Below are 23986 nucleotides of genomic sequence, written 5' to 3'. Positions count from 1 at the left end.
TTGTGCCACTGCACTCTAGCCTGGGTGGGAGCGGGACTCCATCTCAAAAAAAAAAAAAAAAAAAAGAAAAGAAAAAGAAAAAAGAAAGAGATGGAGATTAGTGCACAAAAGGTTCATTAGGAGTACTCTTGGTAACCACACTGCAGAAGGCAATGGAAGCAAGTAGAATTGATCAGTGGGAGAAACTGAATTCTAATGGAGTCTAAATGGAAGCCTCAGTGAAAACTACAGGGAATTCTGAAGCTCGATGACCCATCAGAATTATTCTGAGACAAGGTGAAGGGTTTGGATCTTTACACCCAAATAGTCACTTCAAGTAGTCATTGAGTTTATCAGAATTTGAACAAGAGTACTCTCTACAGTGGAGGTGATCTCTTGAGAGATTTTTTTTTTTTTCCTGGCAGCGCTTATAGCAGCAGAGGGAGTAAGACCTTCATTCCAGAAGGGGGATCTTGGCATCACTTCATACCATCCACTGCATGGCTGCTATTACCAAATCTCCCACAGTTTATATTGTGTCTTTATATTGTGCCAAAAGGTTAATTAACATAACCAAGATCCCTGATCTATTCATGCATAAATTCACTCAATCAACAGATTTTTTAAAATTAAGTACCAAAATGTTCTAGGCACTATGCTTACATAGTTCGTTATTTACATACTTTGTAAGATTTTTATCCTTTTCAGTTTATTAACACTTTTTTTTATATCCTAGCATTGGGTCTGCCTTGGTGAACATATTCTCTACAGTAGTAAGAATGGGTATTACGCCCCTGTTTTGTACCAATTAGATAAAGGCAATTGATAGTGTTGTTCCAATTCTCTAGGTCTTTACTGATGTTTGTCTGTTTTATCAATTGCTGAGAGAGAGTTAAAATCTCTACCTATGATTATGAAATTGTCTATTTCTCCCTTTAATCATGTCTCATTTTGCTTGGAATTTGCCTTGTGCTTGGATCAGCCAAAGATTTATGCAAATTTTATGCAAAATTTGATTTGGGGTTACCCTCTCCAGCTGCTTTCTTTCTAGTACATTCTCTCCTTACTTTCCAGTAGCCATGGTTGCCCTAAACTCTGTCCTCTGGTTCTTCAAATATGTAACATTTGAGTTTTCTAAAGGGATATTTGCTGCTGATCCCTTTGGAGAAAACTTGGAGGGAGATTTACAGTATGTACTTGTAGCAGTGGTGCAGGGTCCTTCCTCAAAGGGAGCTTGGCTTATCTTTCAATTAAGGGCTTCTGAATCTGTGAACTGACTTCTTTCTTGAAACTGGGTGAGAAAACTATGACAACTCAAATCAGATGTTTGGATACCAGACTTAGAGTCTTTCCCATTACATAGCTCAAGAAATAGTCTGATAGGATGCCTATCTATTTATTTCCTAGGAACTCTGTGATCAATTAGTCACTACCAAAGATTTCTATGGGCAAAGACATTTTAATTTTTTTGTAAGTCTCTGCTGCCCTTTATTAGCTGACATCCACATCTTGTCTTTGACAACTGTGTGGCCCCTTAGGCTTAGCTATTCTGGGCTCACATCATCCCCATTAAAATTAGGGAGCCCATCCCAATGTTGAAATTCCTTCCAGTCATATTGGGTCTAAAAATGAGACCAAGCACAAAGCTTTTCAAGGCTGTAGGTACTCCTCTCACTATATTAATGCCTGAGTGAAATGGAAATCTTATGAAACAATCTTGAAGAGAATAAGCATTCCCTCCCAGGGCATCTAAGTGTGGTTACCACATGGCTTTTCAAGCAGGAAAAAGCCAGTCTCCTTGGACCCCAGAGGACAAGCCACTTTCACTGATAAGAGAGGCTCGGAATGGCATGTGGATTCAAGATTGTCAGTTTCATTTGGTTCCAACCAAATGTCCCCATTGCAGATGTTGGAATCCCATTCTTTTCCTGTCAATGTTCTAACTTTTACATGAGAAAGTTAACAATAGTGTAGATTTACCTATCGTTATAATTTAACAATGTAACTTTGCACACAATTAAATTTTGTGTTTGGTTTTCACCAATATCAGTCCTGTGGCTATAAGAAATAAGATGCTTTTATAAATATCATTAAAGCATTCTAGTTCTCAGGCTGTGATTTAAGCTGAAAAATAATGGATTTGGGATTGGTGTTTACTCTATAAGCACTCAAGTGCACACAAAACAAAATTTCATCCCACATTCCTGTCATTATCAGATTCAGTCCTGCCATTTGGTCATGTTTAATAACCACTTGAATTCCCAAAGCATGTGCTTCAGTTGGTGTTTTATGTCAATCCACAGCTAGTAGCTTAAGTAACTGTGATGACATTGCACCCATTTCCCATTGGCAAAGGAAGCTCAGCACCATGCTAAAGCTCAAGGGCATGGCCAAACAATCTCAAAATGCCGTTTTCAAAGATCTACCTCTTGCAACCCAACCACTTCTGATACCAAATGTGAATCAGTTTGGATGTATTCAGGAGATTAAAACAACAGCCAGGGGTGGTGGCTCACATCTGTAATCCAAGCACTTTGGGAGCCTAAGATGGGAGGATTGCTTGAGTCCAGGAGTACAAGGCAGGATGGACAACATAGTGTGACTCTATTTCTACAAAAAATAATAATAATTTAGCTGGATGCTGTGGTGCATGCCTGTGGTCCCAGCTACTTGGGAAACTGAGGCAGGAGGATCCCTTGAGTCTAGGAGTTGGAGGCTAATGTGAGCTATGACTGAAGCCACTGCATACCAGCCTGGATGACAGAGCCAGACCCTGTCTCAGAAAAAAAAAAATGCCTGCAGTGATTTAAACATAAGTTTAACATAAATAATTACTGAGGTATGACAAAGGAGTAACTGTAAGATTTTAAAAAATACCGTAAGTCTCCCTAGGCCTGACGGAGAGGACCAAAATAAGGAAAAGCATGGAAAGGAGCTCTATCCACAAAAATACACTTCACACTTTACTGGAGAAGGCATAGAAGCATCCCAATGGAAGGCACAGAAGTTTTCTGATTTCCCAAAGACAGAACTGATCTATAGTTACTAGGCAAGCAGGAAGCAAACACATGAGGCACAGACGAATCAGTCAGGTATGAGGACATACAGAGTGAGAGGATGCCATGTGGGCTTGAGGCCTCGAGCAATGTGTTGATAAGGCTGCAGGAGGGTGATTGCCAAGCCTAGACTGGGCAATGAGATTGCTGAGAAACTATACTTTATGGACACATGGCTATTGCAAAGAGCCAGTGGATGTCCTCCCACCTACAATGCTGGTACAACCTCTAGGTCCAACAGGGGAAGTCCCTTCTTCCTGCAATGTCCATCTAGGGTCCTTCACTGAGGAAGCTTAACATTGTGTTCAACGTAAAAGAGAAATGCTGACAGGAATTCTATCCATTGGTGTAGAAAAGGTTTTGAAGGGTGAATTTTGAGCTGAGAGGCAGTAAGTTGCTATCAGGTACATCTCCTATATCCTTCACTGTCTCCTCTTTCCAATTCATTTATTATTCTTTTATTGAGCCAATCATATGAGCACTTACCAGGACTCAGGTGCTTTTATTCAGTGTGGAAATAACACATTAGGCAGGACAAAGCCTCTGGCCTCCTGACGTTATATTCTATAACAGGAGATAATAAATAAGCAAACGAATCAATAATATATTCTCAGATTATGATATAAAAATTAAAGCAAATAAAATATGTTTCTTGAGATTATCTTCTTCTTTTTTGTTGTTTTTGTTGTTGTTGTTTTTTTTTGGACAGAGTTTCACTATTGTCGCCCAGGCTGGAGTGCAGTGGTGCCATCTCAGCTCACTGCAACCTCTGCCTCCCAAATTCAAGTGATTCTCCTGCCTCAGCCTCCCGAGTAGCTGAGATGACAAGCTCCCATCACCAGACCCGGCTAATTTTTGTATTTTTAGTAGATATTAGGGTTTCACTATGTCGGCCAAGCTGGTCTCGAACTCCCGACCTCAGGTGATCCACCCGCCTTGGCCTCCCAAAGTGTTGAGATTACAGGTGTGAGCCACCACGCCTGGCAGAGAATATCTTCTTAAAAAGAAAAGAAAACAGAGCATGCAGGTAGACTGTGATTTAAGACGTAGAGCTATTTTAGATAGGATGGTCATAAATGCCTTTCTGAAGAGATAACTTGAACGGAGACCTACTACTCACCATCAGCATCTACCAGCTACCACTTTTCCAGTTATCACTTAAACATCACAGTTGAATTATGTCATCTCTTCCTCAAAACTATTTTCTAACTATCTAAAGATATGGAGATTAAGAAGATCAAGACCACATTAAATAACAAATATACCAGGACAAATTTTAGAATGGAAAACATGTGCTAAACAAGATATAAAGACAGAAAGTTAATTGTCTAAATTGGGTAAACCCAAGGAAGGTGAGAAAAAGCTGTTTATTAGTTGGAACTTTGGTGCCTAGGGTGTACATTAGAGAGGTCAGATGCCATATATATGCCATATATATATGGAAAACTACAAAATTCTGGACAGCACACTTAAATTTAGTAATGGCTTCTAACCTATTTTCTGTAAGACTTGTTCAGATTCAGTATTTGATGAGAGGGACTTAGTTTAAAGGCTTCCAGTTCTTGAAATTCTACCTAGAGAGGTATTTGAATGTGTAAAATCAGAAGGAAGAGGAACTGATGCTTACAAAGTAGCCTCTGTTAAGTATTCCAGGTCCTCCACATAGATTATTTACTCTTTAGAACAGGTATAATAGGGTAGTTTCAACATTGTACACATGAGAAACTTAGAATAGAATGTCTCTTCCCCTTTAGTAAGTTTCCTTTCTTGCGATGGTATAAAATGTTTCACTTGGGCTGGAGTTTCCCATGGGCAATTTTCTCCAGCCACAGATAGAATACTTCATAAATGAAAAAACTGTGCACAGCCTGAAATAGTCCATCAATACCTGTCTCTGGGGTCCAGTTTGCAGGTTCATTTATCTTTCACACTAAGCTCTGTCCTCCCACTGACATTCATTAGAAATAAAATGTTTTAATTTCTATCTGGCACTTATTTTATTATTTTTTCCAGAAACCTGGAAAAATAAAAGTAGATTCTGCTGATCTCTGTCAGAGGCACAAACATGAGATTGTGAGAGATTAAGTGTCTTGCCCAAGATTACATCAATTAGTTGGTGGCAGCCAGGATTCAAATGTGATTTTTGCTCTGCCATAATTCCTAAAGTCTGTACATGATAAATTTGTCCTTAGAGATTTGCATGAAAAAAACTATGGTTAAATAAATCTGGGAGTCATTACATACTGTATCATTCTCTTAGAAATTTAGCTTGTCTAGTTACATACTAAAAGTTCTGCGAAGTTCTGGATTTAAAGGGAGGAAATTATGTTTAAATTGATTGATTCTTTCCTTCATTCAACAAATATGCATTAAACCCTCAGCAAATTCAAGGTGTTCTAGGCAAAAGAAAGAGCACATGCAAAGGCCTCAAGTCAAGAAAAAGCTGGCTTGTTAGAAGAATTTACAGAAGGCTAATAGTCCCAAAGTGTAGTAGGGGCATAAGAACAGTAAGAGATGAGGTTGTAGAAGGTGGCAAAGGCCATATCAAACAGGAATTAATAGATCATCAAAAGAAATTTGGATTTTTGTTCTAAATAGAAACAGAAGCCATTGAAATAGTCAGTCTGACAATAAATGTATTTGGCCGCAATCCTATTTATTCTCATAATATTTAAATAAACATGTTATGCTGCTTTACACTCTGCTGAGCCCCTTGCATTAGACCGGAAGGTGGAAACTGTTAGTGACCAAGATGGGTTTTTAGTCTATATAGTCATTATAGACCTAACACCTAGCATAGACCATTCAAACAGTAGCTACTCAATGAAGGATTTGTTGAATGAATTGAAATCATGAAGGGATAGACAGCTATTACATTTGACAAATGTTTAAAAGAAATAGAAATGTTTTACCCTGACATGTAGAAAACATATGATCAGGGAAGAAGACGTAAGCCTTCAAATTCACAGTGGTGCCAGAAGACAAATTAGACTCACCAAGTAAGCCTCAAGAAGGTGTACCTAGGAGCAATAAGAGGTAGTTATTGAGAAGCCGACAATAAAATGCACATGTCATGAAGTAGTGCATTTCTCATCACTTGATGTTGTCCAACAGAGAATAGAAAACAGTTATGGAGAATATCACAGGAAGGATTTCTTCATCAGTTGAAAGCTGGATTATATACTTTAAAAACATCTTTCAACCCTAAGATCCGGGATTCTATTTGCAAAGAATCTGAAGACAGAAAAGAGTAGGTGAATTGAGTGTGGCCAGAGAGAACTTCTGAACAACAAAAATGTGTAATTTAGCAAACTTTTATCTAAGAGAATAAAGGTAATTATTAAGTGTAAGATGTCAATATGAAGATATTATTCTACTCCCCAGTCTGACACTAATATAAAACAAACAAAAATAATAAAATGATAGAAAAACAATATCATCTATAAAGTCCATAAAACTCCCAGAACTGCAAGTCAAAAACCTGTAAAATCTGTCGGTAAAATTAAGGGAGAATTCCAAGAGTTGATACATACGTCCCCCGATTTCATGTAGGCAGAGACATAACCAGCCAACCTTTACCTACAATGACTCATTCTAAAACACAGGGAAGCCTGGGAAAATGAGGCATGGAAACTAATTTAGGGAAAACAGGATGTGAGGAAATGATCATGAGAATAAGCTCCTTGAGAATTCACAGAATCCTGAAAATATTTCTGACATAATACACAAGAAAATGTTAATAGTTGAAAATTTTAGGAGATGGGTTAGGTGTGTAGAAAAGGGAGTACTTCTAATTTCACTTCATACCTTTCTCTACTCTTGGAGCTTTTGTCAGTAAAGATTCATACAGTTTACATTTAAAACTAATTTCAGAGGGATAAAAATGATGAAAGTAATTTTATGCTGAATATATGGAAAATGATTTAAAGGAGACATATCTTTAGAGCTATTATAAATTTGAGTAAATGAGCAAATTAAGAGTTCTCTAAGGAGGAGGTAACAGAATAGACAATATAAAATGTATTCCACTTCTAGATTCTACAATCCTATTAAAAAAACAAGTTCCATTAACCTGAACTTTAAATTTGATTGGAACAATTATATTCTCACCACTCTGTAGGAACATCTGGTAACTAGTCAGAAATAACTTGTACTCATTAATAAAAGTCTAGCCCTCCCATAAACAATAAGCATAAGTACATGTACTAGGTTTAGGTCTAGGCTGAGCAACAGCAGAGATTCTAAGTGCATGTTCTTCCTATTCTCTAGAGTTTAGGTATGTTGCCCATGAGTAGTACCTTAAGACACAGATTTCAATGGAAAAAAAATATGAGTGAGTGAGAAGATATTTTTTCCAAATTCTAAAGTTCCGGTGGATTTCAGCTGATGAGCATATTTTGTCTTATGCTAAATGTATTACTTTGAAAATATTGTTGTGATTGCAAAATATTTTAAAGGGACATTTTCTTTTAATGCCATTTAAAGAAAATGACCTGGAGCTTTGCTGAAGTAATTCCATTGGCCTTTCTCTTTTAAGAAATCTACATTCCACCCAAAGCATCTGTAGGCTACAGAATATTATCAGACAACTAATACATCCCAATCAGACTGAATTTATTTATAGACAACGTTCTTTTTGCAATGTTAGATGCCTCATTAACTTGATTCAGCTTGTGCATAGCAAAAATATTCCCTCCCTCTTCAGATTTTTGATAGAGTGAATTATAATTTCTTGTCTCACTCATTATAAACCTTTAGTTTGGAGGACATTTCAGAAATGTGTAGTGCCACTTATGTTAATCCTGGATTACTTGTCCTGGATTAATTATGTGCTGTATTTGTTTTTCTTTGGAAGAAAAATGAAGTGGCATAGTGACCATTCTTACTTTTTACTTCACATGAAAAGTAAGTTAAAATTTAATTTTGCCATAAACATCCTAAAAGAAAATGGAATGCGAATTTGTATTGGAGTAGATTTCATTATTGTCATGATAGTGGAGGTAGGAGTGGGAAGCATCCTGGAGCCTTAATAATTCAGCTTACTTTTAAAATCTGTCTATCTGAGAGCAAAGCTAAGGACATACTGTGAAAAATGAACACATATAACTCCTGTATTATGATCCACATCTTCAAATTTTGAAATTTCCTTTTGAATATATCACTATGCAACTTTGGGTTACATGCTCTTTTAATTTGGTTTGCACTTCTGTAAGTGTGGGAGGGAAAGGATTTTTCTTTCCAAATCCTCCATTAGAATTATTTTAAATGTATCAATTTTAAATGAGGTTTAACAGGTTAAATTGAGCTCAGGAAAAAGATAATTATTTAAAATACTAACTTCTATTTATCTTAAATTCAACATTCCATTTTTTCAATGAATATTCCACAAATAAGTAAGTGTATTTGTTTGTTAATATGAAGTAGTCATAAATTATACTGGGAAATGTTTCCACATTTTGTTTTAAATAAGATGATAACTTTGTGAAGAGGAAGTTTTTTTCTTTAATCACAGTCTGCAATGTTTCAAATCTACAATTTATAATTTTAGTAATCTGTTGTATATACTGGGATATACCTAATATAAAAACATCCCGTATATAGTTTTTAATTGTCTGCCAGCTAAGAGAGAACACACTTACTATCTTGTGGTTCTGATACTATCATAATTATTTTAATCAAACTTCACCACAGAATTTAAAAAGTTATTTCATAGCTGCATCTAAATACTTGAAAATGCGCAACATGACTGGGAATACCTTGTTTCAGGACTTCTGTTTCTAGTCAAGGAAAGATGTAGAAAATCTTTTCACCCTGCAAACAGAAATTTTAAATGCTTTATTATAGGTATTATAAATAAACTTCTGTTCAAATGAAAGGATTAAAAGGATTTCTCTAAGTATTAAATCCCTTGTGTTATTAAAGAAGAAAAAAATAAGAAAAAATGATTTTTACAAGCACCTCCACTCGGGGCTTTGTAATCAAAGACAATAACGTTAACTAGGACTTTTTTTTCCTCTTTCAGACCATAAGCGGTCCTGAATCCATACTGTTTGATAAAAATTCTGATTCTCACAAGAATCTGGGGATTTGTACGAAACAGTATGACCTACGTTCATCAGATGGAATACTTTTCTTTGTGATGGGAAAAGGATTGGAGAACTGAAGTGGTTTAAAATTAAGATGGAGTTTCTAAACTTGTAAAATTGCTCTAGTGCATGCCAAATGGTTTGGAGTATGGTTTAAGCATATGTGACCGGCCTGTTGATGAGCTGTCTTTTTCAGGATACATATATGAAGTTATTTGTAAGCTGGTCCTAGAGAAACTTCAAGTTTACCTGATGATCAGGCTTTGAGACTTCAGGGCACATATGGCATGCCCAAACTAACGACCATCCTCTATTCTAATCACAGTTAAAGTCAGCTGTGGGAGGCTGCCGCCCTTGAATGGTTTATAATCAGCTTGAGACATGAAACTGACTCATTTCTGGAAGTGTGGGGGCTGTTCTTTCACTCTTTTCAGTACATGAATGCCACCATAAAATAAGATTAAATGCTCTGGGGTTTTCCCCGCTGTTTCCCTTCCCTATTTGTTACCTTTTCATGGTATGTGGGCTCATACTGTATTTATGTTTTCTTAGCTTCAAATTATCTCACTCACAATTTTGTATTAAACAGCCTGCTTTGCCCTACTTCTAAAATAGGACATACATTCCTATTATGTTATATTTTCATCACATTGTTTTAAAGAAATGAACACCTTAAAAGTAAATATGTATGATACTTAAACTCGTTAAAGTTAAGTATCTTCCTTGGTGTCCCAATCTATTCAATGTCATCTCCTGGGAGATTACTTGTGAGCTTCTTTCATGTTGTCTAAAGGTAGCTGTAAACTTGTTCTCTAAAATACTATTATTAAGAAATCCCATTGAAATTATAGGCTTTTTTCCTGAGGCTTCCAAACTTCAAGCTACAGAGTTTTATTTCCTTCTCTTAAAAATGTCTTTGGCCTCCTAAATTATAGACACACATCTTCTAGAATTTTATAGAGATTTACCTTACTTGAGTTATTGTTCCTACGGATTTTGAAAAATCTTTCAAAGATCTGTCCTACTTAAGTTGCTCTTGCCTTGAACTTCAGCTAATCTTCCTGAGCAATATCATAAGGTAAGAATCTGATATGACTCTATTAGTCTGAAAATCAGACCAAAAGGCAACTGACTTGTACATATGAAGTATACAGCTTATTGTTACGATAGAGCGAAATAAATATATGAAAAGATAAATAAAAAGGTACTTTTAAAAATGTTTACCTACCATGGACACAGGAACTGGTGAACTTTTTGAAGTCCCCCAAGTTCTTAGCACAGCACTGTTGTCAAGAGTGTTGGCGGGTCGCGGTGGCTCACGCTTGTAATCCCAGCACTTTGGGAGGCTGAGGCGGGGGGATCATGAGGTCAGGAGTTGGAGAACCGCTAGGCCAACACGGTGAAAGCCCGTCTCTACTAAAAACACAAAAAAATTAGCCGAGCGTAGTGGCGGGCGCCAGCAGTCCCAGCTGCTCCGGAAGCTGAGGCAGGAGAATGACGTGACCCCGGGAGGCGGAGCTTGCAGCGAACCGATATCGCGATACTGCACTCCAGCCTGGGCGACAGAGCGAGACTCCCTCTCAAAAAAAAAAAAAAAACTGTTAGGTATATATTACGGTATATATATTAAGGCAGACCTGGGTCGGTCTCATACTGGGTAAGGTGCTGCTAGTTCTTGCTATGGTAGAAAGATATATCAGGCTTTCAGCCGGGCACAGTGGCTCACACCTGTAATCCCAGCACTTTGGGAGGCCGAAGCGGGCGGATCGCGAGGTCAGGAGATAGAGACCATCCTGACTAACATGGTGAAACCCCGTCTCTACTAAAAAAAAAAAAAAAAAAAAAAAAAAAATTAGCTGGTTGTGGTGGCCGGGCCTATAGTCCCAGCTACTCGGGAGGCTGAAGCAGGAGAATCGCTTGAACCGGGCAGCAGTTGGAGGTTGCAGTGAGATGAGATCATGCCACTGCACTCCAGCCTAGCGACACAGCGAGACTCCGTTTCAAAGAAGAAAAATATGTATATATATATATATATATATATATATATATATATATATATGTATAGAGAGAGAGAGAGCAGGCTTTCTCTTGGTTTTAAGATTCTCCTGTCTTTTTTTTTTTTTTTTCCCGAGTTTCGCTCTTGTTGCCCAGGTTGGAGTGCAGTGGCGCGATTTCGGCTCACTGCAACCTCCACCTCCCGGCTTCAAGCGGTTCTCCTGCCACAGCCTCCCAAGTAACTGGGATTACAGGCATGCGCCACCACGCCCGGCTAATTTTGTATTTTTAGTGGAGACGGGGTTTCTGCATGTTGGTCATGTCTGGTCTCCAACTCCTGACCTCAGGTTATATGCCCACCTCGGCCTCCCAAAGTGCTGGGATAACAGGCGTGAGCCACCGCGCTGGGCCAAGATTCTCTCATCTTTAGCACAGTGTCTCTGCCTCTTACCTGCCCTGGATTAATTGCTCCATCTGAATAACTGGTTTCTGCATGCTTCTCAGTTTCTAAGCAGTCACTCAACTCTGACACTTCTGCTTCCTCTTTAACCAGTATCCTTAACATTCTCCCTCATTTTTGACAATGTACTCATCCTGATTATGCAAATGATTACAAATCTCTATCTGAGATATTTGAATCTATAGTTTTAATCTCACAGCACTGATCATCCAGTACCTACAGTACATTCAAGTTATAAGTTCCATGGAGGTAAAAATTCTCTAACTTGTAACTGTATAAAGGCATTAAAGCATGACACTCTAAAGGCATTAAAGAATCAACAAAAGAATGATACTTCTGGTATGAATATAGCTGCAGAAATCAGGATTCTGCATTTCTTTTCTCAAAAATAATTGAAAATAGAAAAAATTTTTAATAATCATGCGGAACTCCAATTTTTGGCAAATTGGAAGACATTTATAATCATAGCTTCCAAATTGATGAAAGAGATCACAAAAGCTATATGGGATAAAACAAAAATTAAAAACCGTAGAGAGGAATATAAGCAAAGAGGGAGCCTTATAATATCAAATCTCAAAATTTTCTGGCAAAAGATATACTTCCTGAAGAGGAGGGATAAGCCCAGAAATGCAAAAATCTATCATCTTATTTCTGCTATGGGTGCATGAACTGGAGTAAGATAGACTGGCAGCAATAGCATTACTGGACCCAGTCTGGTTCCAAGAATAGAGGAAGCAATAATATACAAATAATGACACAGACACTGCACATGTTCTAAAGGCGTTTTTCTGTGGTATTTGAGTAGAAAGGAGACTTTTTGTTGTGAAAGCCAGAAAAATTACATATCAATTCCTATTGTTCTCCAGCACAAAAATCTCTTGCACATATTAAGAAATACAAAATAATTCAACAATAGATACTGAAAAATAGGAAGACATTAAAGGAGGAAGAAAGTAAAGTACAGGCAACAAAAGAGAAGAATACTTAACAGGAAAGCATGAAACAGCAAGTAAAATCATAGCAAATATTTTAGCAAGCATTTTAAAATATTTTATAAAGCAAACTCCACTATGAAGGAAGACACAAAGCAGAAAGACAGAACTCAAAGAATAGACAGCAAAACAATAAAAGAAAATAAATTGCAAACTGGCAGGATTTGGAAAAGAATTAGAAGAAAAAAAGCTGTCACTGATTATGACAGAATTCAGTACAGTACATGGGGTTTATGCTTCTGTCATGATAGGGTGAATGGAGCAAGACTTAATTGTGCACTATAACCAACTAGAAAAATAGAAAAAATAATGCAAATAAAGAGTTTGCAGACATCCTACAACACATATTATATGATTATAGTCAGTAAGAGAAGAAAAAAAATTTAGGTGAGTCTTGTAATCAAACTGGATTTCTCCACCGAAGAACTTTCTGAACCACATTGTCAGGAGGTAGATTCCAAGCAGAGCTAGGTGGTTACACTGAGTTGTGTAGACAGAGATCAGAGTGCTTAGAGTTTTTGAGCCTGAAATTCTGAATGGAAGACAACAGGAAAGGAGAGAACATATAAATAAGTAAATCAGGAAATCTTTACAATCATCTCAGAGTCAGTTGCTGAACACTAAGTCATGCGTATATAGGCCAAGGCAAAAAGCAAAAAGGAAGCTGTGTGTCAAACAATTTCCAGCTCTTACGCAGCTCTGGGAAAAGTTCAAGTTCTCAGAAGCCAGAGTATACATTATTCACTGAATACTCAGAACTTTCTGTAAAAATACCAAGAGGGCTATAGTAGGCATACAGTAAAGATTGTTCTAAATTCACCCTACTAAAGCCTTAAAGAAGGGCTAGAATGGACAAAACTGGACTGCAAGAAACTTAACTGCCTGCCAGAACAAAGAGCAACATATTTTGAAGGAAGACAAAAAATATGACACTCAACAGCATGAAATTCATAATGTCCAGCACTCAATCAAATACTGTTATATACATGGAAAAGCAGGAAAATTAAATCCACATCTAGGAGAAAAACCAGTCACTACAAATAGATCACAAATGACAGAAATGAGGAAATTAGCAGACACCAACATTTAAAAACCTACCAAAACACGGCTCAAGCATGTAAAGAGTAACATGAACATAATGAAGGAACACATAGAATGTAGGACAAAAAGTGTCAAACTTCTAGAGAAATAAATGTATTAAAGAATAAATTCACTGGATGAAATTAACAGTAGATTAGGCATGATAGGAAAAATATCAATGAACTTGAAGACAGTGGTAGAAACTATCCTAAATACAGATCAGAAAGAAAAAAGTCTAAAAAAGAATAAGTAATGAAGTCCCAGTAACTTGGAAAACGATATTAACTGCTGTAACATTAGTATAATTGGAATTCATGGAACAGGTGAGACACTGAGGGTCAGAAAAAATATTGGAAGTAATAATAGCCAAAATATTTACAAATTTAATAAAAATAAGAAATCTTCAGGAACAAAATTAATAAACTCCAGTAAGATAAACACAAAGAAAAACATACCAAAGTACAACAGGAGGGAGTTGTTAAAACCAGTAATAAAAAGAAAATCTTAAAAGCACCCAGAGGAAAATAGACATATTGCATACAAAAGAACAAAGACAAACATGAATGCACACTTCCAGTCAGAAACTATTGAAATCAGAAGACAGCGAAACATTTTAAAGTGCTGAAAGAAAAAACAATCATTTCAAGCTATAATTCTATATCCCCAGAAAAAAAATCCTTCAAAACTAAAGGGAAAATGGACATTTCTTCAGGCAAAGAGTTAATCTATATATTTTTTAAGTTAATAAAAGATTTCAGGGAGCTAAATATATATATATACACACACATATCTATATCTATATCATATATATATATATATATATATATATATATATATATATATATATATACCAAATGGAAACTTGTACCTATATAAAAGAATGGTGAGTACTTGAAAGGGTAAATATTTTGATGAATATACTTTTCTTTTTAAAGATTTCTTTAATTTCTTTAAAGTTGAGTATGTAAGGCAAATATAGAAACAAAATTGATTGAAATTTTATGTAGAAATAAAATGTGAGACAAAAATGGCACAAAAAAAGGGTGGGATGGAAATGGTATAATATTATTTGAAGATACTCTGTGATAAAAGTGTATCAGTCAGGGTTCAGTCATGTCAAAGAAACCATATAGAGTAAGTATAAGATAAAGTTTGAACAGCGTAAGTATAATATAAAGAAAACATTAAAATCTGTTGTGTTTAGTTGTGTAAAGAAGCAGATGGAAGGGATATGAAAGGAAGTAACACTGTTCTGACTATGTCTTTTTGAATAATTTTCATTTTGGAAGTATTCTTCATGTTCAAAAACTTAAACTAAATCAATATTTAACAAGAATGGGGAAAAGATCTAAAACTAATGCAAACAAAAACAAATGAACCCAACTGTAATTCCAAATAAAAAATACTAAATACACTGAAAAGAAAAAATAAAAGAACTAATACAAGTAACTTTTGATCACAAGTATTTTGATTATACACTCTCAATCCAGGTTAAAAAAAAACAGAACTGTTAAGAAATCTTGAACTCTTATTAGTAGGTTTGTTGTAGTACAGATGATTGAACAAATGAGCTGATGTTATTGCAAGTGAGGGTTTCCACTGTGGAGGCAGGGAGATAGAAATATAGAAAAATCTTGTAGGTTTGGTTTGCAAGTGAAAGTATTAATATGAACTTTTACTTTACTTAGATATATACATACACACATGCATATAAATATCATAGCTCTGTTTGTTGGAGAGGTCAAGAAGTAATAACACACCAACAATGAACATAATTTCTGCTCAGATCTTGTTTTCTAAATGCTATTTTCCACTAAAGATACCAGGGGAAGGTCAGGGGAAGTTCAACATGAGTCTGGATGATCTTGTTGAGTCAGGGGGATAGTGCTTAAAAAGTGATGTCAAGAACCCCTAGAATCCAGCCTGTAGGGTCTTCCATTGAATAAATCCAGGAAAATTTGAGCATCAAAACAAATAAGGTGGTAATAGAATGTAACCCAAAGATTAAAATATGAATCCATAAGTCTATACTGAAGAAAGACAGAAGGAAGGAAAGAAGAAGAAAAAGATCTTCATTATAGTAAGCTTTGACTGACGAATATGAAGAGAGTGATTGATAGAGTTAAAAAATCATTATTTTTCAAGTATCATAGTTAACATTGGGTCAGACAAGAATCATCAATGGATGCTGAATGTAGGAGCAAAATTTTAATGAAAAGCAGGTTATTTACATGGTTTTTAAATGTTTCTCTACAGAATGCCTATTAGCTGCATGAGGGGAAACAGTAACCAGAAAGTAGAGGACTGGACAACATCTGGACCAAGGGATCAAAATTAACATCAATAAGGTGAGCTTATGGACATGATGCTGTAAAAACAATATCACTTTTGTGTTAGTCAAGCCAAGTGTGCTTAACCTGAGTCTAATCATAAAACATATCTAAATTGAGGAACACGCTATAAAATAACTGACCTGTACTCTTCAAATAAGTCAATGTTGCAGGGCGCGGTGGCTCATGCCTGTAATCCCAGCACTTTGGGAGGCCGAAGAGGGCAGATCACGAGGTCTGGTGATTGAGACCATCCTGGCCAAAATGGTGAAACCCTGTCTCTACTAAAAATACAAATATTAGCTGGGCGTGGTGGCCTGTGCCTGTACTCACAGCTACTCGGGAGGCTATGGCAGGAGGATCGTTTGAACCAGGGAGTCGGAGGTTGCAGTGAGCTGAGATCGCACCACTGCACTCCAGCCTGATGACAAAGTGAGACTCCGTCTCAAAAAAAAAAAAAAAAAAAAAAGACAAAAAAAGAAAAGAAAAAAAGAAATAAATCCATGTTATGAAAGATTTGTGTATGTTTGAGAAAGTTTCCAGCTTAAAATAAAGAAATGATAATTAAATGTGATATGTAATTCTGGATTAGATACTGTACTTGTATTTTAAAATGCTACAAAATACATTATTGGGAATATTTTGTTAAAAGTCATAAGAATTTTCTATCAAAGTTAAATTTTCTAAATTTGATAGCTACACCTTGATTACATAAGAGAATATCTTTTTTTTGGCTATCAACTCTAACTACTGAAGTTTTAAGTGAGAAAAAGTGTTAATACATGCAACTGACTCTCAAAGGAGTTAGAAAATTAAATCACAACTATTTATTGGACTTACACAGATAAACCACCTTGCCACAAGAATACTCATAAATTATTTTCAAATTTTGAAGGAATCAGGACAAAAAGAAAATGCTTCCACCTTTTTTCACAAAAGTATACTTTATCAAATTGCTGTAAACTATACATAGCTTAAAAGTGAGTATTTTCTTAAATTGGAAAACAAAACATTTAAGTAAAGAATCAACAATGTTTCAAATAAAACTTATAGAAAGAAAAAAGAAAAATAAATCACATATAAGTACAAATTATACATACACATATATCTCTACAGATAAAGTGGTGTTACTAATTGTACAAATACTAATACATGTTCTAAGATTACATTTACTAATTTAATAAATATACTAAAATGTTAAAATTTATTTTTCTTTTTTCCAGTTTTATTGAGGTATAATTGACAAGACTGCATATAATTAAGATGTATAATGTGATAATTTGATATATTTATATATTATGAAATGATTACCACAATCAAGCTAATTAATACATTCATCATCTCACAGTTACCTTGTGTATGAACACTCAAGATATACTCTCAGCAAATTTTATGTAAACAATGCAATATTATGAATTGTAGTCATTGCACAATACATTAGATCCCTTTTATTACTGAGAGTTTGTACCCTTTGACCAACATCATCGCTTTTTCCACCTCTGACCCAAACAAATTCTGGCAACCACCATTCTACTTCCTGCTTCTGTGAGTTTGAGTTTTTTTAATTTAATATATAAATGAGATAATACAATTTGTCTTTCTATGACTGGTTTATTTCACACAGCATAATGTCCTCCAGGTTCATCTATGATGTCACAAAAGGCAAGATTTCCTTTTTTATGGATGAATAATGTTCAATTGTATATACAATATGTACCATAATTTATTTTTCCATTTATCCATCAATAGACATTTAGGTAGCTTTCATATGTTGGCAATTGTAAATAATGCTGCAACGAACATGGGAGTGCAGGTAGCTTTTTGAGATACTGATTTCATTTTCTCTGGACATACACTCAGTAGTGAGATTGCTGGACCATATGATAGTTCTATTTTAAATTTTAGAGGTATCACCATAGTGTTTTCCACAATGACTGTGCCAATATACACTTTCACCAAAGTGTACAAGGGAAACATACCATCTCTACACCATCACCAACACTTTTTATCTCTTGTCTTGTTTATAATAGCCATCCTAACAAGTGTGAGGTGATATGCATTTCCTTAATGCTCATTGATGTTGAGAAACTTTTCATATACCTGTTGGTCATTTGTATGTTTTCTTTGAGAATATGTATATTCATGCTCTTCACCCATTTTGTAAATGAGTGGTTTTTGTGCTATTGAATTGTATAAGCTCCTTGTATTTTTTTAATGTTAACTCTTTATTATATATATGGTTTGCAAGTATTATCTTCCATTCTGTAGGTGTCCTTTTCATCCCATTGGTTGTTTCATTTGCTGTTCGAAAGCTTTTTAATTTGGTGTAATCTCACCTGTCTATTTTTGCCTTTCTCGCGTGTGCTTTTGTTATTCTATCCAAAAAAATCATTGCCAAGACCAATGTCAAGAAACTTTGTCCCTATGTTTTCTTCTAGAAGTTTATAGTTTCAGGTCTTATATGCAAATCTGTAATCCATTTTGAGCTCCTTTTTGTGGATAGTGTAAGAAAAGAGTCCAGTTTCATTTTTGTGGATATCCAGTTTTCCCAAAACAATTTCTTGAAGAGACTATTCTTTCTCCATTGTGTATTCTTTAAACAGTGGCAAGAATTAGTTGATCATACATGTATGAGTTGATTTCTGAGCTCTCAATTCAATTTCACTGGTCTGTGTATCTGTTTGAGGGAAGTGCCATACTGTTTTGATTAGTATAGTTTTGTAATATAGTTTGAATTCAGGAAGTATAACATCTCCAGCTTTTTTATTCTTTCTCAAGATTGCTTTGGCTATTTGGGGCCTTTTGTGGTTTTATTTGAATTTTAGAATTGTTTTCTCTATATCTATGAAAAGTGGCATTAAAATTTTGATAAGGATTGCATTGAATCTGTAGATCACTTTGGGTAGTAAGGACGTTTAACAATAGTAGTTCTTCCAGGCCATAAACATAGGATAGCTTTCCATTTTATTTGTGTCTTCTTCAATATCTTATAGTTTTCAGTGTTCAGATCTTTCACCTCATTGATTAAATTAAGTCCTAACCGATGTATTGTTTTTGATGCAATTATTAAAATTTCTTAAATCAGTAAAGCTTGGAAAAGAATATCTAGGAGTTTTCTGTAATATTCTTGCAACATTGCTGTAAATTTGAAGTTATTTCAAAATTTAAAAATTGAAAATATATTGGTATCATGTCATTTACAAATATGTGACAAATACCAGTCAACGTTGTAAATAATACTGTGATAATAATAATAACATAATAAAACTAAAAAATATAATGTGAAGTGAAACAATATTTGGGGCATAAATTACTTGCACTAAATTTCTTCTCTTTCATATCAAGAATTTAATAAACTATGGCATAAAGTTTTATATGAAAACATAGAGTGATACAAATCTATTTGGCAAAGTTGAGATGATAAAAATTAGAAAAAAATATTTCATATTTGTGGTGGGAGTTTGTCATGGAGCAAGGTTGGAGAGAGACCTACTTTAAATAAATAAAGCATTGGAAATATCTTGGAAACAGATAATCAAATACCTCACGTTCTTACTTATAAGTGGGAACTAAACAATGGGTACACACGGACATACAGAGGGAAATAATAGACACTGCTGACTCCAAAAGGAGGGAGGGCGGAAAGAAGGGGAGGGTTGAAAAATTACCTGTTGGATACAATGTTCATTATTTGGGAGATGAGTATACCAGAAACCCAAACCTCACCATTATATAATATATCCTTATAAGAAATCTGCATAAGCCCTTCCTGAATCTATAAAAATTAAAAACAAAAATAAAAATAAAGCATTGGCAAATGTTCACGTGTGTGCCTCTGTGCATACACACACAAACACACACACATACACTCCTACTTAAATAAACCATATGATGCATTTGAAGTCTGCAAATAGTCACTATTTGAGCTGTAGATGTAGATCTTGGCAAATATTCTATGACAAGTAAATAAGCAATAAGAAATTATATAGCAGCTGGGGTAGACAAATAGGAGAGACAGGACAGATACATAACACCAGGGATTTTTGCAAAGACAACCTGAAGCAATTGATTCTGTCAGCTTAAGTTGCTCTCACATTATCCTTAAGCTGGTGAGAGTTGATTCTGACTGAGCTAGACCTGTAGTAATAGAGGTTTGCTGAAAATAAAAATTGGAAAACTCAGTCTGGCATTGTAGAATGCAGGAATTGTAGCAAGTAGAGTGCTTAATAAGAGTTTGTTTAAATAAACTTTTATTTTAGAACAATTTTAAATTTACTAAAGAGTTGTAAAGGTAATACAGAGAACCCCCATATACTTCATACTGTTTCTCCTACTATAAGCATCTTATTAGTACGATACATTTATCACAATTAATAAATAAATGGTGATATATTATTATTACCTAAAGTCCATATTTTATTCAAATTTCCTTAGTTTTCATCAAATGATCTTTTTGGGACTGAGAGTCCATCGAAGATGCTGCATTAATTTGTCACATGTTCTCAGGTGCCTCTTGGCTGCAACAATTACTCAGACTCCTTGTTTTCAATGACCCTGACAGTTTGGAGCAGTACTGGTCAGGTATTTTGTCAATGTCGCCCTTTGGGGATTTGCTTTATGTTTTTCTTACAATTGTACTGGAATCATGTGTTTTGGAGAGGAAGAACATAGAACTGTCTTTTTCATTACATCATATCAAGAGTAGGTATTATCAACATGAGTTGTCCCTGTTAATGTTAATCTTGATCACTTGGCTGTTTGTCAGGTTTCTTGGCTATAAAGTTACTCTTTTACCCCCATTTATGTACTGTACCCCTTGGAAGGAAGTCGCTATGCACAGTTCACACTTAAGGACTGAGGAAGAGTTATGTTCCATCTCCTTGAAGGTAGAGTATCTACATAAATTATTAGCACAGAATATTTGTTTATTCTTTGTTTGTTTACTTATTTATTTATATCAATATGGACTCCTGGATATTTATCTTATACTTTTGGCTATAATCCAATACTATTTTATTAATTTTGTTGCTGAAATCATTCCAGCTTTGCCCATTGGGAACTCTTATGTTTCCTCTTGAGTAACCCGTCACTGACTGATAGACCGTGTGTGTGTGTGTGTGTGTGTGTCTTGAGCACTTTCTTACTTTCTGACACTACAAGGTTCTCTCAGTTCATCTTGTATGTTTTCTGCTTCAGTCCTAGAATCAGGCGTTTCTTTAAGAGGCCCTACTTCCTCTAATTGGATAATTCTAGAAACCGGTATTTGAATCTGAGGTATGTTTGTTGCTCCTGAGTATCCTTGTTTCTAGACTCTCTCAGCTAATAGAATAAGGAAATATACGTGAGTATATTGAACTTTGTATATACATATATCTGTAAATATTTCTAGGTGTATCCATCTGAATCTATATTAAGCTAAAAAATGAGTTCATATCACCCAATGGATCATTCTAGTCTTCTCTCATTTATCTGTATCCTCTAGCTTCAACAGTGAGACAATGACTTCCATCATTCAAACATCCATTGACTTAAATGTTTAATTCTAATATATACGTGTAGTGGTTTTAGAATCGTTAACCCATTCTACCACAGAAAACAAATATCAACTAAAGTTCAATACTTACATGAAGTTTATTTGCTGTTAGTCTTACAGACTCCACTCATTTTCAAACTTTCTTAAGCCAGAACCTTTTCTCCTTATTTTTTTAGTGAGATTGTTTTGTACATGTTATGCAGTTAGATTCTTTTGTCACAGTATGCATTTCATTCTGAGAACTCCCAACCTTTCAAATAATTTTTTAAATTTGCGTATATTAAAGTCAGTTTTTGTGCTATAAATTGTATGGGTCTTGACAAATGCATGCTGTTGTGTATCCATCACTTGAGTATCATACATGATAGTTTCATCATCCTTTAGGAAAAAAGTCCTAATATTGATAGCATAATGCATTCACTTACTAACTGGCTCTGTAGAGCCCTACTAACTCAGGGAATTCTGTACACACATAATGAATATTTCGACATGCCTTTGCCTATGCATTGAAAATGTGAACAATTTTTTTCTTAATAGTTTAGGTTTCCTCATTTAAAATGCTGTAGGCGATTTTGAATAAGAAAATTATACATTTTTTTGCCAGGCGCCGTGGCTTATGCCTGTAATCCCAGCACTTTGGGAGGCCAAGGTGGGCGGATCACCTGAGTTTGGGAGTTCAAGACCAGCCTGACCAACATGGAGAAACCCCGTCTCTACTAAAAATACAAAATTAGCCGGGTGTGGTGGTGCATGCCTGTAATGCCAGCTACTCGGGAGCCTAAGGCAGGAGAATCGCTTGAACCTGGGAGGTGGGGGTTGCGGTGAGCCGAGATCGCGCCATAGCACTCCAGCCTGGGCAACAAGAGTGAAACTTCATCTGAAAAAAAAAAAAGGAAAAGGAAAAGAAAATTATACATTTTTTGCCCAAAACAAAAATGTGTTCACAAATTTTATTTTCCACCATTTGGAAATGCGTCTATAGGCATACAAGGTCAAGCTTATAATTTTCATAAATGTAATTTTGCAAATCTCATAAAAACTAAAACTCCTTTTACATAATGTAATGAATAGGTGATGGTGGCATGCATAATGCAATTTTCACAAATGAAGTTAAATGTGAGTTCATATTTCTGTATTCAAGAAAAATATGAACTAACTCAATAAAGATGAGCAATATTAACCTTAAGGAGTTAATCATCAGAGTGAATGAGGGAAAATAGTATAATTAGCAATGTATGAAGGTAGTCATTAAGGTGAACCAAGGCACATAATATAGCTTCCCATATAATATAAACAAAAACCAAAGTTCCCATAGCAACACAAACTTTTCTCCAACGTACACGTACTATACATTGGATTACTGGTTAGAGCTTTAATTTACAGTTTCTTTTCCATTTGTGTAATAAGGGCATATTAACATGGTTCTGAGAACAATAAGATTTATATAGTCACATTCAGCTGTGTTTAGATTTGCTACCTTCAAACTTAATTTTCTATTTAGTTGACATTCCCTAAAAATATGCTAGCATTTTAGATCAATTTCATTAAAAGTCACACTGATCTTATTTGTGGCAATGTTTGTAAGCATTTTTATTCTTTAGCTCGCATGTTTTAGGATACACATGTCATGTGGATGTGAAATTTAATTTTAAAAACTTTGATGATTAAATATAGTGATGTTAAAATATAAACTTCTTTGAAAATTAGGAAATTTAGTAGCCAGCCCCAAATTTTTTCACATAAACAGTAAAATAATAGATGCCACACAATAACATTCTTTGTTAAATATGGGCAATTATTTTTTGCAAGAAAATTTTTCTCTTCTCTAATTCTAGCTCAAATAATGTATCCCATTATAGCTATATTTTTATTTTGAATTTCTTCTCTATAAACAAAATAGGGCTACTTAAACATTTACATTTACAAAGAATTTTACAATCATTTATATACTAATATTCATAAGATTTTTGTGACTGTGCTAGATGGGTGATAACTACAATTGTATTTTATATATGGAGAAGGATGCAAACACATAAGGTCACACAACAATGATAAACTGGCAATATAGTGGTCACCCAGGATATTAACATTAAAGTCCTACATTATTTGTAGTAGATGAAGAAGACTAGGGGAGAAATCTTATGTTTTATTTCATATTCACACATTTTATTCATCTAGAGGTAAACACCTATGCATTTTTATTGAGAACTGACAATTGAATGCTTAGGATATGCTGAAGAATTTTATTGGTTCTCTACTTCAAAGAGAAATGGAACTTTTTGAGATTTAAATTATTGATATATTTTGCTCATTGTAAAATGGAAAGAGTTTAAGAGAGGCTTTTTTTTTTTAACTAATCTATCTGTCCTTAAATGCAATGCTCTCTAAGGTTTGTCTCTTTTGGAATTATATTATGACAGGGACAGAAGAATCAATCTTTAAGTGAAGTTTAGTGTGAAGTCTCAAAACTAAAAT

At 35.0% G+C, this 23986-nt stretch overlaps 2 long non-coding RNA genes across 12 annotated transcripts in view; one reads left to right on the top strand and one right to left on the bottom strand.

Annotated features, from left to right (window-relative positions):
* LINC02327 (long intergenic non-protein coding RNA 2327) overlaps window positions 1-10617 on the bottom strand; it is a 138162-nt gene extending 127545 nt beyond the window's left edge. For 7 of the 11 annotated variants that reach the window (NR_184194.1, NR_184190.1, NR_184191.1 and 4 more), the window contains exons 1-3: window positions 10350-10617; window positions 8792-8846; window positions 3522-3599 (exon numbers count right to left, since the gene is read on the bottom strand). This is a non-coding gene — a long non-coding RNA (long intergenic non-protein coding RNA 2327). Of the gene's footprint in view, window positions 1-3521; window positions 3600-5947; window positions 6056-8791; window positions 8847-10349 lie in introns of all 11 variants that reach the window. The other 4 variants (NR_184196.1, NR_184197.1, NR_184195.1 and 1 more) reach the window with 3 other exon arrangements.
* An 81-nt stretch (window positions 10618-10698) lies between these two features.
* LINC02281 (long intergenic non-protein coding RNA 2281) overlaps window positions 10699-23986 on the top strand; it is a 30070-nt gene continuing 16782 nt past the window's right edge. The window contains exons 1-3 of the long non-coding RNA NR_187181.1: window positions 10699-10778; window positions 15905-15996; window positions 21175-21252. This is a non-coding gene — a long non-coding RNA (long intergenic non-protein coding RNA 2281). The remainder of the gene's footprint in view (window positions 10779-15904; window positions 15997-21174; window positions 21253-23986) is intronic.

This window comes from Homo sapiens, chromosome 14 (genome assembly GCF_000001405.40).
Source record: "Homo sapiens chromosome 14, GRCh38.p14 Primary Assembly".
In the NCBI taxonomy this organism is placed as follows: Eukaryota; Metazoa; Chordata; class Mammalia; order Primates; family Hominidae; genus Homo; species Homo sapiens.
Note: the sequence above shows the minus strand (reverse complement) of the source record. Positions and strands in the feature narration are given on the sequence as shown.